This window comes from Homo sapiens, chromosome 11 (assembly GCF_000001405.40).
Source record: "Homo sapiens chromosome 11, GRCh38.p14 Primary Assembly".
In the NCBI taxonomy this organism is placed as follows: domain Eukaryota; kingdom Metazoa; phylum Chordata; class Mammalia; order Primates; family Hominidae; genus Homo; species Homo sapiens.
This window is the reverse complement of record NC_000011.10, coordinates 49,772,019-49,787,721: the sequence shown is the minus strand read 5'-3', so window position 1 is coordinate 49,787,721 and position 15,703 is coordinate 49,772,019. Positions and strand designations below refer to the sequence as shown.

Sequence of the window (15,703 nt, the reverse complement as noted above, 5' to 3'; positions counted from 1 at the left end):
ATAATGTATTTCAAGTAATTCTTTCCCAGATCTAGAACTAAGACAGTGTATTCATTCTATAAAATAAGCCCCTTAAGAAATGCCATTACTGTTCAGATTATTGATCTCAGCCTGCTGTCAGAGCCAAAGTGTTTAGCAAGACTATTTCAGGGACCTGAACAGGATATTTTTATTGGCAATGAGACAGCAGATTACCTACAGCTCAAATGGAAAGACCTAATGGCCAGGTGTGTATCATTCTAACATTCTATTGATGTGCAGTGCAGATGGTGAGACGTGCTGATGGATGAGGTTGTCTCAGCGGCAGAGTTGTCTTAGTCCTGCCAAGCACTTAAGTTGAACGACCTATTAAACATGGTTGACCTAAGGCAGTTGGAGATATTTATAAGTAACTACAGCTATTAAATGTGGACCTTCTAGTAGGCTCTAAATATAGCCTTTTTTTTTTTTCCACATAGCTTTGACTTCTAGTTCCTAAAGCCATTCATTCAAGTTGAATTGGGGAAGAGAAGGAGCAAAAAGAGAGATTTGCAGAATATTTGTAAACAAAATAACACTGGAATACTGAAAGAAGTTATAGCATGAACTAAATAAAAATTTTCAGGAGGTAACATTGATATGAAATACTAATTTAAATTAAAAATTTGAATTATCTAAAATTTTTTAAAAATAAACTCAGGTTCTATGTAGAACCTAGGGTTTGCTATCAAATAATAACTTTCCCTCTGTTTCTACTCTACAGAAGACAAGTTAGTAGAAAAGTACACTGGATTCTAAGTTATGGTAGTTGGGTAATTGTGTCATCCACATTTTGGAGGTGTCAGTTTCCTCATTTGTAAAATTAGAGTTAGTAGATGTAAACTTTTTCTTACAAACTATTAACTTTTGCTTTTCTGTTCCATTTCACACATCAATATTTATTGAGTCTTACTTAGAACTCCTGTGTATAAAATAGAATAGTACTTAATATTTAGGTTCTTAGATATGGGTTTTTTCATAACACTTATATGACCTTCTATCTAACTAATCTGTAAGTATCATAAGGTCAATAATTATTGTTTTTTTGCTCATTTATTTATTTCAAGCACTTTTACATATAGTAAACACCTAACATTTGTCAAATAATGATTAAATGAAACAACACGTGTAAAGTGCTTAGCACAGTAATTGGCACAAAGTATTTGATAAATGGTCCTATAAATGGTTCTGATAAGTGGTTTTATTAACACCCACAGTGCCATCTCACTAAGATAGTTGGAAGAAGTTGGGATATTTCAAAGAGAAGTTGGAGAGTACTGAGGACCACACTGTTGTTCCCAAATATTTGAAAGAGCATCACATGTTACTTTTAAAGAAAAAAAAATGGGCCAAGAGGCAGAAACTACAGGGAGACAGTTTTAAAATTTGGAGTAAGGAAGACCTAACAAAACTGCTCAAAAATGAAATGATGTTCAAGTAAATGTCGAATTACTAAATAGCCAGTTAATGGGGGGATAAAAGAAATCTAACTAGAGGCTATAAATTTAGTATTCCATGAATTAAACGATATGGAAAGAACTCTATGTTTATCATATACAAAATAAATCTTAAAATACCCAAAATATAAAATTTTGCAATGCTTCTGGAAATAAAATCATACATGGAAAATGGCAAATATTGTAAAAGCCAATCTATTTACTTAGTGTACATGGGATCAAAGAACAATTTGCTTTTTGGCAAATACACCATATGACTGAAAACAAATGCTGCTGATTTTTCTTATTAATGCTTGCAAATGGAGCAGATAGGAATCATGGAATTCTTTATTCCCTATCAGAAAAACAGAACTACTTAAAGCCAGATTTTTTTTCTTTTCTGTTCTTTTTACTGCAGTGGTAACACTGCACTTCAGAATACAATATAAGAATATTGGCAGTTGGCATGTTCGTGGGTTGTCTGAAACTAACTGGTGCATTATTCCTGCCAAGTAGCAATGATTTTGACAAAATGTATGACATTGATAAAAAAGGAATCTCACTCAATATCATTTTTATTGAAGGATGTATGACCTCATACCAAAATAGCCCCATCAATCTATTGCCATCAGATCAGACAGAAAAGAATTGGGTACATAAAATGGCTGTCATAAAATATATCTCAGCTGCAGCTAAGTCTGATCACAGATGGTCAGTTAAGCATTTGGAAAATGAAGGAAGTATGTTTCCCTTAATAAGCCATCAAAAGTTAATAACAAGTGACTTGGCTCTCTATTTGGGGCAGAAATCCTGAGAAAGATGCAGTGGTTTCTAAGGTTTTTGCTGTTCTTTATATTGGCTACATGTTAATAAAAAGATATACGGTACATAATGTTTTAAAGGTATGCAATGAAGAAGCAGCTTCCCTACCACTTATGACTTCCAGGGTTACCATCTCAAAAGTGCACCTCATTCACACATTCAAAACTACAGTGTTGTCTTACTAATTATGATAGTCAATTTTATGTGTCTAGTGCCTGGGCTATGAGTAGTGCCCAGACATTTTAACAGACATTATTCTGCCTGTTTCTGTGAGATTGTTCTGGATGAGATTAACGTTTGAAGCAGTAAACTGAGTAAAGCAGATAGCCCTCTCTAATATGGATGGACTTCAAACAATCAACTGAAGACCTGAATAGTATTAAAAGGCTAAGAGGTAATGTTTTTTGCCTGATAGCATGAGATGGACATTGGTCTTTTTCAGCCTTCAGACTTGGACTGAAACATTGGCTCATCTTGAATTGCAAGCCTACCAACTTTCAGACTGCAACTTAATATTATCAACTCTCATGGTTCTAAAACCTTTGGACTTGGATTGAAACTACACATTGGCTCTCTTGGGTCTTTAATCACATGAACCAATTCCTTGTAGTAAATCTCATATGTGTATATATATACATATGTATACACACACACACACAAATTTATACATACGTATATATATGTGCAGGACACATATATGAATATTTTTTATTATATATGTATAAACTTTTGGTTTTATTTCTCTGGAGAATTTGACTAATACACTGATTCAGCCACAACAACAGGGAGTGTGCTGAGTTGTGTCAATCAAGTGAATTATCCAGATAATTAAAGTCAATCTCTGTAGATGCTAGTATTTTAGTATCTTGTCTAGAAACAATGTAGGTCACCAGACACCTACATTTTTGTGATATAAAATAACAAGCCAATTTTCTAATGCTTTAAAAATGTGCCCTGAAAGTAATCCCTCACTTTCAAACCCAAAATTCTATGATTCTACATTATAAACCAAGCTCATGTAGTCATTCTCAAAATCAGTTTTAAAAGCAACTGTGAGTTTGAGTCATGTTTACTTTCCAAGTGAATTACTCAAGGATATAAAAATCCATTTCATTACCTTACAGTCATGGTTTTTAGGACTTAAAGATGCATCATCTTCATTTGTTGATTCCTTTTACTATTAATCAGCACATGGCGGATCTACTTATTTCCCATGATTTTCTCCAGGCACAGGTGCATTATGAAATTTAAGCTCTATTTCCACTGCACAGACTAAGCTTTGAAAGAATTTTTTATTGTACACTAAAAGCTACCCTTCGGTGCTGCCAAATTCCTGGTATTAACTCCATGTAAATTTTCTTATCATCACTCACCTGCCCAGAAGCAGAAATTCTCCCACTAGACCCAGGCGCCTCATGGCCATCAGCAGACCTCTCACCGTCATGCCCTCACAGAAGTAGGCCACCACCCGGGCCTTGGGCAAGTGACTTGTGAGCTTCTTCAGCAGCTTATCAAAGCTCTGCTCCCCTGCATTACTGTAGATTTTGTAAGAGTGGGCGATGCAAATCCCTTCCTTCGCTGACATATCTTTGAAGGCTTCCATCCCACTTTCTCCATAGTTGCCTGTGTGAAAACATAGATAAGCAGAGGGATAGTGAAATGAGAGTGTTGCATTAATTGGGTATAATCAGAATGCAGGTGTTAGGAGCATGAAAGTCATTGGTATGGGACTTGCAACCTGAAGACCTGAATTTTGGTTTTTGATCTTTTGCTGAATTGCTTATTTTGGGCAAATTACAATTGAACCACATTATATATGCATTGATCATTTATATTTTCACTGTGATGGAGAGAATAATATAAACAGTGTAAGCAATTCATCATCCTTTTATGACTCAAAATAGCTCTTATTCTAAATATGAGTTGATGGAAATATTTATCTGCTTTTTTTTTTGCATTCTATCTCACTTCCCTTTATTTCTCATTGATGACAATTTCATCCCACTGAGATTTTTGTATTTAAAGCTATAGTACATACAAGTAATACATGTAGTTTATATAGTATATATGTTGCCATATAAATATTTTATAAAGTATTATACTATATATAATATTCAGTATATTATATACTTATAATCATGAGAATTTATGGTTTGGTCTTAAATGAAAAACTGAGATCCTTGCTTAAGATTTAGTCTTGCCACAGATGAATGTGTAAACTTATGAAAAACATTTACAGTTTTATCCTATACAACCATGGGGAAGTTATTGATAAGGATAAAAAGTTCAAAGTCTTTTGCAAAATTTGGGGACTAAGGACTAATGTTAGTCTTTTAAAATTAATGAAAAAGGGGGATTAATATTGACAGTCAGCTATATGCCAGGACACAAGGACCTTTATATATGTGATCTAATTTAGCACTCACAATAAAATATCGATGTAGATATTATGAGCTCCATTCCATACATAGATCAGAAAACAGATAGAGCAGTTAGGTCCATATTTACCTTGAGTTACACTAGCAGTAAGTGGAGGGCTGAACTCCATTCACAGATCTAATAGCATAGGTCCTGCTCCCTCTACTTGTCCAAGGCTGACTCTTAGGAGTCTCAGAATTCTAATTACATCCGCATTTCTCTTTCCCATTTCAGCATGACAATTCTCCAATTTTAGATATTTTTGGAACATTTTAAGGCTCTATATTTTATACAGGGCTTATATTCTGAATTTTCAAAATATTAGATATATGAGGGGGATTGCTTTGAAGAATACAAGAGGCTATTACAAGATAACCAAGCTGTAGAACATATAAGGATGAGACTGACCTAAAAATCAACTTGACCTAGGAACTGGAATCTCATCAGGAAGAGTAGATATCAAATTAATAGGAGCACTGTGGGCATTCAGTTGCATAGGGTTCACTATATGTCTATAACTGCAATAAATACAACTCCACAACAATTTGATTTTGGGAAAGTCAGTTTATATATGTTAGCTCACTGCTCCTTACAACAACTCTGTGATAAAGGTTAATGTTATCTCCCCTTGGCTGATAAAACTGAAGTTCAAATACAGATAGTAGGTGTCAGGATCTTAGTTTGAACATATATCTCTGATTCCTGTCCTGATGTGGGTGTTACCATACCACAGGTACCTTGCTGCCTATGAAATCTGTTAACTTTGAGGGTGGATTTTGGTGAAGCTTTATCTCCGTGAACAAACTGCAAAGGGCAGAGCAGAGCAGGTCAGCTTGAGTCTCAGCCAAAAATACTGGTGGGCCAGCTGCATCTTTTCCCTCCTTCTCCAGAATTAAAAGCAACAAGAAGCCTCTGTCATGATGGCAGGTGGGCAATCTAGTTATTTTGCAATTAACAAAGTTTAAAGGGCACTTTCTGAAAAATGTGCCAATGGGCCTAAATTACTACCAGTTTTACACTAATGTGAGTAATCTATTATTCTTTGATTTATTTTTAGCTAACTCTGTTTTTCAACAGACTGTCTTGCATTTCATGTTTTGATTTAATGCAGAGGCATTTGCATAAATAATTTGAAATTAGGTATAGTGATTGTGATGTGAATTTATTGAGAATTTCACATCATTTATTTACTTTTATTCTCAATACATTCACTGTTAAACAGAAAAGACATCTAACAAATTCAGATTATTTAGCACTTTGTTCCTAACAGCTTTAACACTGTTTTTGTTTATACAATATGTTGTAGAGAAGCAGCTTGAAATAGTGGAGAGAACTTTGTTATTAGAGAAACCTGAGTTCAACTTCAGTTTATATAGTCTTTGTAATCTCAGCTTTCTGAAGTAACACAGCTTAATATTCAGATATTTTAATATTATATTTAATGTATGCAAACTATCTGGTAGGTCACCTGAACCCAATTAATTGAACCTACTGAAATTATAAAGAATATTCTAGACAGAGTTTAGCTACTCTTTACTGGAGCATCCAAAACAAACAGTGGAGCAAATGGCACTATTACTGTACACTAGACTAAAAAAATAAGCTTACACTAGCAGAATAAAGTATTATTTTCCCAGAGAAAATCTCAAGCTGTACTCTTTAAAATTAAAAAAGGCAGGGGGTATATGAAAAATTTTCACTCAATTTTGCAGTGAATCAAAAACTGCTCTAAGAAAGAAAGTTTACTTTAAACATTTAAATAAGAAACAGCTTTAATACATGTGTGACATAAAAATTTTACAGAATATAATTTTTATTTAACAAAAGAAATCCTTTGTAAGCTGGGAGACAAAGAGAATATGTCTTCCAATAAAATGGAAAAGACTGAAGATGGCCGAATAGGAACAGCTCCAGTCTACAGCTCCCAGCGTGAGCGACGCAGAAGACGGGTGATTTCTGCATTTCCATCTGAGGTACCGGGTTCGGGTTCATCTCACTAGGGAGTGCCAGTGGGCGCAGGCCAGTGGGTGCGCGCACCCTGCGCGAGCCGAAGCAGGGCGAGGCATTGCCTCACCTGGGAAGCACAAGGGGTCAGGGAGTTCCCTTTCCGAGTCAAAGGAAGGGGTGACAGACGCACCTGGAAAATCGGGTCACTCCCACCTGAATATTGCGCTTTTCAGACCAGCTTAAAAAACGGTGCACCACGAGACTATATCCCACACCTGGCTCAGAGGGTCCTACGCCCACGGAATCTCGCTGATTGCTAGCACAGCAGTCTGAGATCAAACTGCAAGGCAGCAGCGAGGCTGGGGGAGGGGCACCCGCCATTGCCCAGGCTTGCTTAGGTAAACAAAGCAGCCGGGAAGCTCGAACTGGGTGGAGCCCACCACAGCTCAAGGAGGCCTGCCTGCCTCTGTAGGCTCCACCTCTGGGGGCAGGGCACAGACAAACAAAAAGACAGCAGTAACCTCTGCAGACTTAAATGTCCCTGTCTGACAGCTTTGAAGAGAGCAGTGGTTCTCCCAGCATGCAGCTGGAAATCTGAGAACGGGCAGACTGCCTCCTCAAGTGGGTCCCTGACCCCTGACCCCCGAGCAGCCTAACTGGGAGGCACCCCCCAGCAGGGGCACACTGACACCTCACATGGCAGGGTATTCCAACAGACCTGCAGCTGAGGGTCCTGTCTGTTAGAAGGAAAACTAACAAACAGAAAGGACATCCACACCAAAAACCCATCTGTACATCACCATCATCAAAGACCAAAAGTAGATAAAACCACAAAGATGGGGAAAAAACAGAACAGAAAAACTGGAAACTCTAAAACGCAGAGCATCTCTCCTCCTCCAAAGGAACGCAGTTCCTCACCAGCAACAGAACAAAGCTGGATGGAGAATGATTTTGATGAGCTGAGAGAGGAAGGCTTCAGACGATCAAATTACTCTGAGCTACGGGAGGACATTCAAACCAAAGGCAAAGAAGTTGAAAACTTTGAAAAAAATTTAGAAGAATGTATAACTAGAATAACCAATACAGAGAAGTGCTTAAAGGAGCTGATGGAGCTGAAAACCAAGGCTCGAGAACTACGCGAAGAATGCAGAAGCCTCAGGAGCCGATGCAATCAACTGGAAGAAAGGGTATCAGCAATGGAAGATGAAATGAATGAAATGAAGCGAGAAGGCAAGTTTAGAGAAAAAAGAATAAAAAGAAATGAGCAAAGCCTCCAAGAAATATGGGACTATGTGAAAAGACCAAATCTACGTCTGATTGGTGTACCTGAAAGTGATGCGGAGAATGGAACCAAGTTGGAAAACACTCTGCAGGATATTATCCAGGAGAACTTCCCCAATCTAGCAAGGCAGGCCGACGTTCAGATTCAGGAAAAACAGAGAACGCCACAAAGATACTCCTCGAGAAGAGCAACTCCAAGACACATAATTGTCAGATTCACCAAAGTTGAAATGAAGGAAAAAATGTTAAGGGCAGCCAGAGAGAAAGGTCGGGTAACCCTCAAAGGGAATCCCATCAGACTAACAGCGGATCTCTCAGCAGAAACCCTACAAGCCAGAAGAGAGTGGGGGCCAATATTCAACATTCTTAAAGAAAACAATTTTCAACCCAGAATTTCATATCCAGCCAAACTAAGCTTCATAAGTGAAGGAGAAATAAAATACTTTACAGACAAGCAAATGCTGAGAGATTTTGTCACCACCAGGCCTGCCCTAAAAGAGCTCCTGAAGGAAGCGCTAAACATGGAAAGGAACAACCGGTACCAGCCGCTGCAAAATCATGCCAAAATGTAAAGACCATCGAGACTAGGAAGAAACTGCATCAACTAATGAGCAAAATCACCAGCTAACATCATAATGACAGGATCAAATTCACACATAACAATATTAACTTTAAATGTAAATGGACTAAATGCTCCAATTAAAAGACACACACTGGCAAGTTGGATAAAGAGTCAAGACCCATCAGTGTGCTGTATTCAGGAAACCCATCTCACGTGCAGAGACACACATAGGCTCAAAATAAAAGGATGGAGGAAGATCTACCAAGCCAATGGAAAACAAAAAAAGGCAGGGGTTGCAATCCTAGTCTCTGATAAAACAGACTTTAAACCAACAAAGATCAAAAGAGACAAAGAAGGCCATTACATAATGGTAAAGGGATCAATTCAACAAGAGGAGCTAACTATCCTAAATATACATGCACCCAATACAGGAGCACCCAGATTCATAAAGCAAGTCCTGAGTGACCTACAAAGAGACTTAGACTCCCACACATTAATAATGGGAGACTTTAACACCCTACTGTCAACATTAGACAGATCAACGAGACAGAAAGTCAACAAGGATACCCAGGAATTGAACTCAGCTCTGCACCAAGTGGACCTAATAGACATCTACAGAACTCTCCACCCCAAATCAACAGAATATACATTTTTTTCAGCACCACACCACACCTATTCCAAAATTGACCACATAGTTGGAAGTAAAGCTCTCCTCAGCAAATGTAAAAGAACAGAAATTATAACAAACTATCTCTCAGACCACAGTGCAATCAAACTAGAACTCAGGATTAAGAATCTCACTCAAAACCACTCAACTACATGGAAACTGAACAACCTGCTCCTGAATGACTACTGGCTACATAACGAAATGAAGGCAGAAATAAAGATGTTCTTTGAAACCAACGAGAACAAAGACACCACATACCAGAATCTCTGGGACGCATTCAAAGCAGTGTGTAGAGGGAAATTTATAGCACTAAATGTCCACAAGAGAAAGCAGGAAAGATCCAAAATTGACACCCTAACATCACAATTAAAAGAACTAGAAAAGCAAGAGCAAACACATTCAAAAGCTAGCAGAAGGCAAGAAATAACTAAAATCAGAGCAGAACTGAAGGAAATAGAGACACAAAAAACCCTTCAAAAAATCAATGAATCCAGGAGCTGGTTTTTTGAAAGGATCAACAAAATGAATAGACCACTAGCAAGACTAATAAAGAAGAAAAGAGAGAAGAATCAAATAGACACAATAAAAAATGATAAAGGGGATATCACCACCGATCCCACAGAAATACAAACTACCATCAGAGAATACTACAAACACCTCTACGCAAATAAACTAGAAAATCTAGAAGAAATGGATACATTCCTCGACACATACACTCTCCCAGGACTAAACCAGGAAGAAGTTGAATCTCTGAATAGACCAATAACAGGAGCTGAAATTGGGGTAATAATCAATAGTTTACCAACCAAAAAGAGTCCAGGACCAGATGGATTCACAGCCGAATTATACCAGAGGTACAAGGAGGAAATGGTACCATTCCTTCTGAAACTATTCCAATCAATAGAAAAAGAGGGAATCCTCCCTAACTCATTTTATGAGGCCAGCATCATTCTGATACCAAAGCCGGGCAGAGACACAACCAGAAAAGAGAATTTTAGACCAATATCCTTGATGAACATTGATGCAAAAATCCTCAATAAAATACTGGCAAAACGAATCCAGCAGCACATCAAAAAGCTTATCCACCATGATCAAGTGGGCTTCATCCCTGGGATGCAAGGCTGGTTCAATGTATGCAAATCAATAAATGTAATCCAGCATATAAACAGAGCCAAAGACAAAAACCACATGATAATCTCAATAGATGCAGAAAAGCCTTTGACAAAATTCAACAACCCTTCATGCTAAAAACTCTCAATAGATTAGGTATTGATGGGACGTCTTTCAAAATAACAAGAGCTATCTATGACAAACCCACAGCCAATATCATACTGAATGGGCAAAAACTGGAAGCATTCCCTTTGAAAACTGGCACAAGACAGGGATGCCCTCTCTCACTGCTCCTATTCAACATAGTGTTGGAAGTTCTGGCCAGGGCAATTAGGCGGGAGAAGGAAATAAAGGGTATTCAATTAGGAAAAGAGGAAGTCAAATTGTCCCCGTTTGCAGACGACATGATTGTTTATCTAGAAAACCCCATCATCTCAGCCCAAAATCTCCTTAAGCTGATAAGCAACTTCAGCAAAGTCTCAGGATACAAAATCAATGTACAAAAATCACAAGCATTCTTATACACCAACAACAGACAAACAGAGAGCCAAATCATGAGTGAACTCCCATTCACAATTTCTTCAAAGAGAATAAAATACCTAGGAATCCAACTTACCAGGGATGTGAAGGACCTCTTCAAGGAGAACTACAAACCACTGCTCAAGGAAATAAAAGAGGATACAAACAAATGGAAGAACATTCCAAGCTCATGGGTAGGAAGAATCAATATCGTGAAAATGGCCATACTGCCCAAGGTAATTTACAGATTCAATGCCATCCCCATCAAGCTACCACTGCCTTTCTTCACAGAATTGGAAAAAACTACTTTACAGTTCATATGGAACCAAAAAAGAGCCCGCATCGCCAAGTCAATCCTAAGCCAAAAGAACAAAGCTGGAGACATCACACTACCTGACTTCAAACTATACTACAAGGCTACAGTAAACAAAACAGCATGGTACTGGTACCAAAACAGAGATATAGATCAATGGAACAGAACAGAGCCCTCAGAAATAATGCCACATACCTACAACTATCTGATCTTTGACAAACCTGAGAAAAACAAGCAATGGGGAAAGGATTCCCTATTTAATAAATGGTGCTGGGAAAAGTGGCTAGCCATATGTAGAAAGCTGAAACTGGATCCCTTCCTTACACCTTATACAAAAATCAATTCAAGATGGATTAAAGATTTAAACATTAGACCTAAAACCATAAAAACCCTAGAAGAAAACCTAGGCATTACCATTCAGGACATAGGCATGGGCAAGGACTTCATGTCTAAAACACCAAAAGCAATGGCAACCAAAGCCAAAATTGACAAATGGGATCTAATTAAACTAAAGAGCTTCTGCACAGCAAAAGAAACTACCATCAGAGTGAACAGGCAACCTACAACATGGGAGAAAATTTTCGCAACCTACTCATCTGACAAAGGGCTAATATCCAGAATCTACAATGAACTCAAACAAATTTACAAGAAAAAAACAAACAACCCCATCAAAAAGTGGGCGAGGGACATGAACAGACACTTCTCAAAAGAAGACATTTATGCAGCCAAAAAACACATGAAAAAATGCTCATCATCACTGGCCATCAGAGAAATGCAAATCAAAACCACTATGAGATATCATCTCACACCAGTTAGAATGGCAATCATTAAAAAGTCAGGAAACAACAGGTGCTGGAGAGGATGTGGAGACATAGGAACACTTTGACACTGTTGGTGGGACTGTAAACTAGTTCAACCATTGTGGAAGTCAGTGTGGTGATTTCTCAGGGATCTAGAACTAGAAATACCATTTGACCCAGCCATCCCATTACTGGGTATATACCCAAATGACTATAAATCATGCTGCTATAAAGACACATGCACACGTATGTTTATTGTGGCATTATTCACAATAGCAAAGACTTGGAACCAACCCAAATGTCCAACAATGATAGACTGGATTAAGAAAATGTGGCACATATACACCATGGAATACTATGCAGCCATAAAAAATGATGAGTTCATGTCCTTTGTAGGGACATGGATGAAATTGGAAATCATCATTCTCAGTAAACTATCGCAAGAACAAAAAACCAAACACCGCATATTCTCACTCATAGGTTGGAATTGAACAATGAGATCACATGGACACAGGAAGGGGAATATCACACTCTGGGGACTGTGGTGGGGAGGGGGGAGGGGGGAGGGATAGCATTGGGAGATATACCTAATGCTAGATGACGAGTTAGTGGGTGCAGCGCACCAGCATGGCACATGTTTACATATGTAACTAACCTGCACAATGTGCACATGTACCCTAAAACTTAAAGTATAATTAAAAAAAATAAATAATAATAATAATAGTAATAATAATAAAAAAATGGAAAAGACTGAAGTGTTGAAACTTTCTGGTAGTTGATAGAAACACTGTATTCTATAATTATACATTTTAAAATAATGAAAAAAGTGCAGCAAAAAAAAAGTCTACAGGCTTCTCAAATAAGAATAGAACACATTTCAAGTAATATGTAGAATGGGGAAAAAGCTAAGGAAGCAACTATTACTTTTTCCAATAGAGGGAAACTAGTAACTGAGAAAGAAAGCTGTGGTATAAAATATGAAACTAACATGTGACTTCATTTTAAACAATAAATAGAAGTAAGACAGAATCCATAGAACGTTCTTCTTTAGGTAGCAGAGGGTTTACAACTTGGAATTATGTGGAGAAAATGTAATCATAGCCCAATGTCTTCACTCATAGCTCACACTACTTACAGGTATAATGATGCAAATGTCACTCATTGATTTTCAACCTTAAGAATCCACCTATAGACAAATGGAAAAACTCATTATGCAATAAAATACATTTGTTATCAACTTTTACAATGACAATTAAAGAGAAAGATGATGGAGGCTGAGAGGTAGATGCAGGGAAAGTTGTTGGGAAGAGGAAGGCCATTAAATCACCCACTCCCAATTTGGAAGTCAAGATATACAGAAAATAAAATGTATGTGATTAAGGGAATTATTGGATGCTAAAATAATCAGGAGGCAGCTAATGTAGTGAGAGAATTATATTAAAAGAAGGAATAAGAAGATGTACAAGGTAAGAGATAATGTCTATAGTCATTTAAAAGTAGTTACTTTTTAAAAAGACATATTCATATTAGAGATATGGAGGTGAAAATAAAAGGATGAAAAACTAAAACACTTGTTTTTCACTTTAAGCCCTGCTGTACTATTTGACTTTTAAAAATATGAAAATATACATTTAATGAAAAAAATAAACTAGCATAGTTAAAAGTCATTGAAAGGAGAGAGTTGATGCAGATAATTTTAAAAGTAATTGTCTTCTCTCTGCTTTATCATTTTATCCTGTTTTAGGGATAAAACTCACAGAAGTTCTTTATATGCTACTCTTGGTGGAAATGTAAATTAGTACACCCATTAATAGAAAACTTCGTGGAAGTTCCTCAACAAAACTAAAAATAGAATTATTATATGATATAGCACCCCTACCTCCGGCTACCTTTCCAGCTAATTTTAATTGCACTCCCACGTTCATGGCAGCATTATTTACAAAAGCCAAGTTATATCCATCAACAGATAAATGAATTAAAAAATGTGGTGTATATATATACCCAATGAAATACTAGTCAGCCTAAAAACCCTAAAAAATGGGTTTAAAAAGAAAAATTTCTGCCATTTGCAACAACAGTATATTATTCACTTTTGTACCGCTAATGAGACCTGTTAGATAACTAACACATGTTGAATAAATAAATAAATTATTGAATGAGCAGTACAAAATAATGAATGTCTATTTCCAGATTAAAATAATTGCCCAACTATGTGACCAGCAATCAGGATTGCCACATCGTGTCTAGGGGGCACCACTCTAATAAGCTATTATAAAATATTTCACTTAAAACATGAACAGAGTTGCACAATAATCAAAATATTTACCCTGAGTACCCCAGTTTTTTCCTCAGATCATAACAGATTTTAATAATTCAACCTCAAATAGTGTTTAAAGCTAGTGCTTTCACTAATACTATTTGACCTGAATTGCATCAGCTGGGATCTGGAAGTATCTGCCTACATTGACCCTATAAAGCACACATTGGAAACAGGATTTGTTAAAGAGTAACTTTAAAACTTTCTTCTGTAACAGAGACTGGGGACCCCAAAAGGGAAGAGGGTAGGAAGGGAGTAAGGGTTGAAAAATTATTTATTGCGTACAATGTTCACATCTGGGTGATGGGTACACTACAAGCCTCAAATCCAACAAAGGGCAATATACCTATGTAACAAACCTGCACATGAACACCCTGGATATAAAATTAAATTAAATTAAATAATAAAAAACTTTCTGCTAACCTAGGAAAAAATTTTTATTTGAACTGTACGTTAAAAGGCACCAAATCATACTTTAGTAAGTAATTTGTAATCACAGGTAAATGCTATTTCAGATGGTACAAATTCAATATCATTAACAACTGTGTAACAGTGGCCACTTTAAGATAAAGATAATAAAGTACAACAGCATAGACAAGGTATACCTAGTGAGATATTCATTTTTCTAGCAAAATAGCCATTAAATATATTGTTTAAATTTATCCATCTCATGTGTTAGGGAAAACTATCATTAGAATCAAAATCAAACTATTATAATTATAGTAAAGATACAAGTAATTTTGTTTTCTTTGATACTTTTCTTTTTTTTCATAGTATCTTTACTTCTCTTTCCATAAATCAGACCCCGATTCACTGCATAGAAGCTTGTATACTATTTTCTCTATCATCTCTTATTTTTCATTTTCCCAAACCCTACCAACCACTATTTATTGTTTTGTACTTTTTACTATACTCTTTCATATGTATCATAGACACCCCACATACTCTCATTTATTTATTTTTACTAATGCTGTTCTTTTACGTGGAATACCTTTTTCCATGTTGTACAAATTCAATTCCCTAGATTCCTTTAGGATGGAGACTACATCTTCTCCATAGTGCCATTGTTTAATTACAGTATTTGTATAATCGCTGTAATTTGTAATTGCTAAAAAAGTTTATAATTGTGGATCCTTCACCTTTATAACAAGGCTGATTATACTCATGATTTATTTGATGCTGAAAACTTGGTTAAAAATATAAACCATGATGTTGAATTTTTTCCTTAGGAAACATAACTCACTTTAAATAATGTGTTTTATCATGGGATTTCTAAAATGCCTCAGAGTCAGGAAATGAGTTAAGGTACTGAGTATTATAATAAATTAGGCTTAAATTAAAATAGATATTCTATATTATATATGTTGCCTGTTGCATATATTCATTATATTTTGGATGTATTTACACATCCTTCTTTTCAAAACTGTGAGCCCATAGAGGGTAGTTAATGCTTTATTTAACTACATATCATCACATGGTAGGTACTTACGTAT

At 36.5% G+C, this 15,703-nt stretch overlaps 1 pseudogene across 1 annotated transcript in view; it reads right to left on the bottom strand.

Moving 5' to 3' along the window:
- The window catches only part of GRM5P1 (GRM5 pseudogene 1), a 251,892-nt pseudogene that overhangs the window by 22,698 nt on the left and 213,491 nt on the right, over positions 1-15,703 (bottom strand). The window contains exon 3 of the transcript NR_027044.1: positions 3,650-3,899. The product of NR_027044.1 is annotated as a GRM5 pseudogene 1 (transcript). The remainder of the gene's footprint in view (positions 1-3,649; positions 3,900-15,703) is intronic.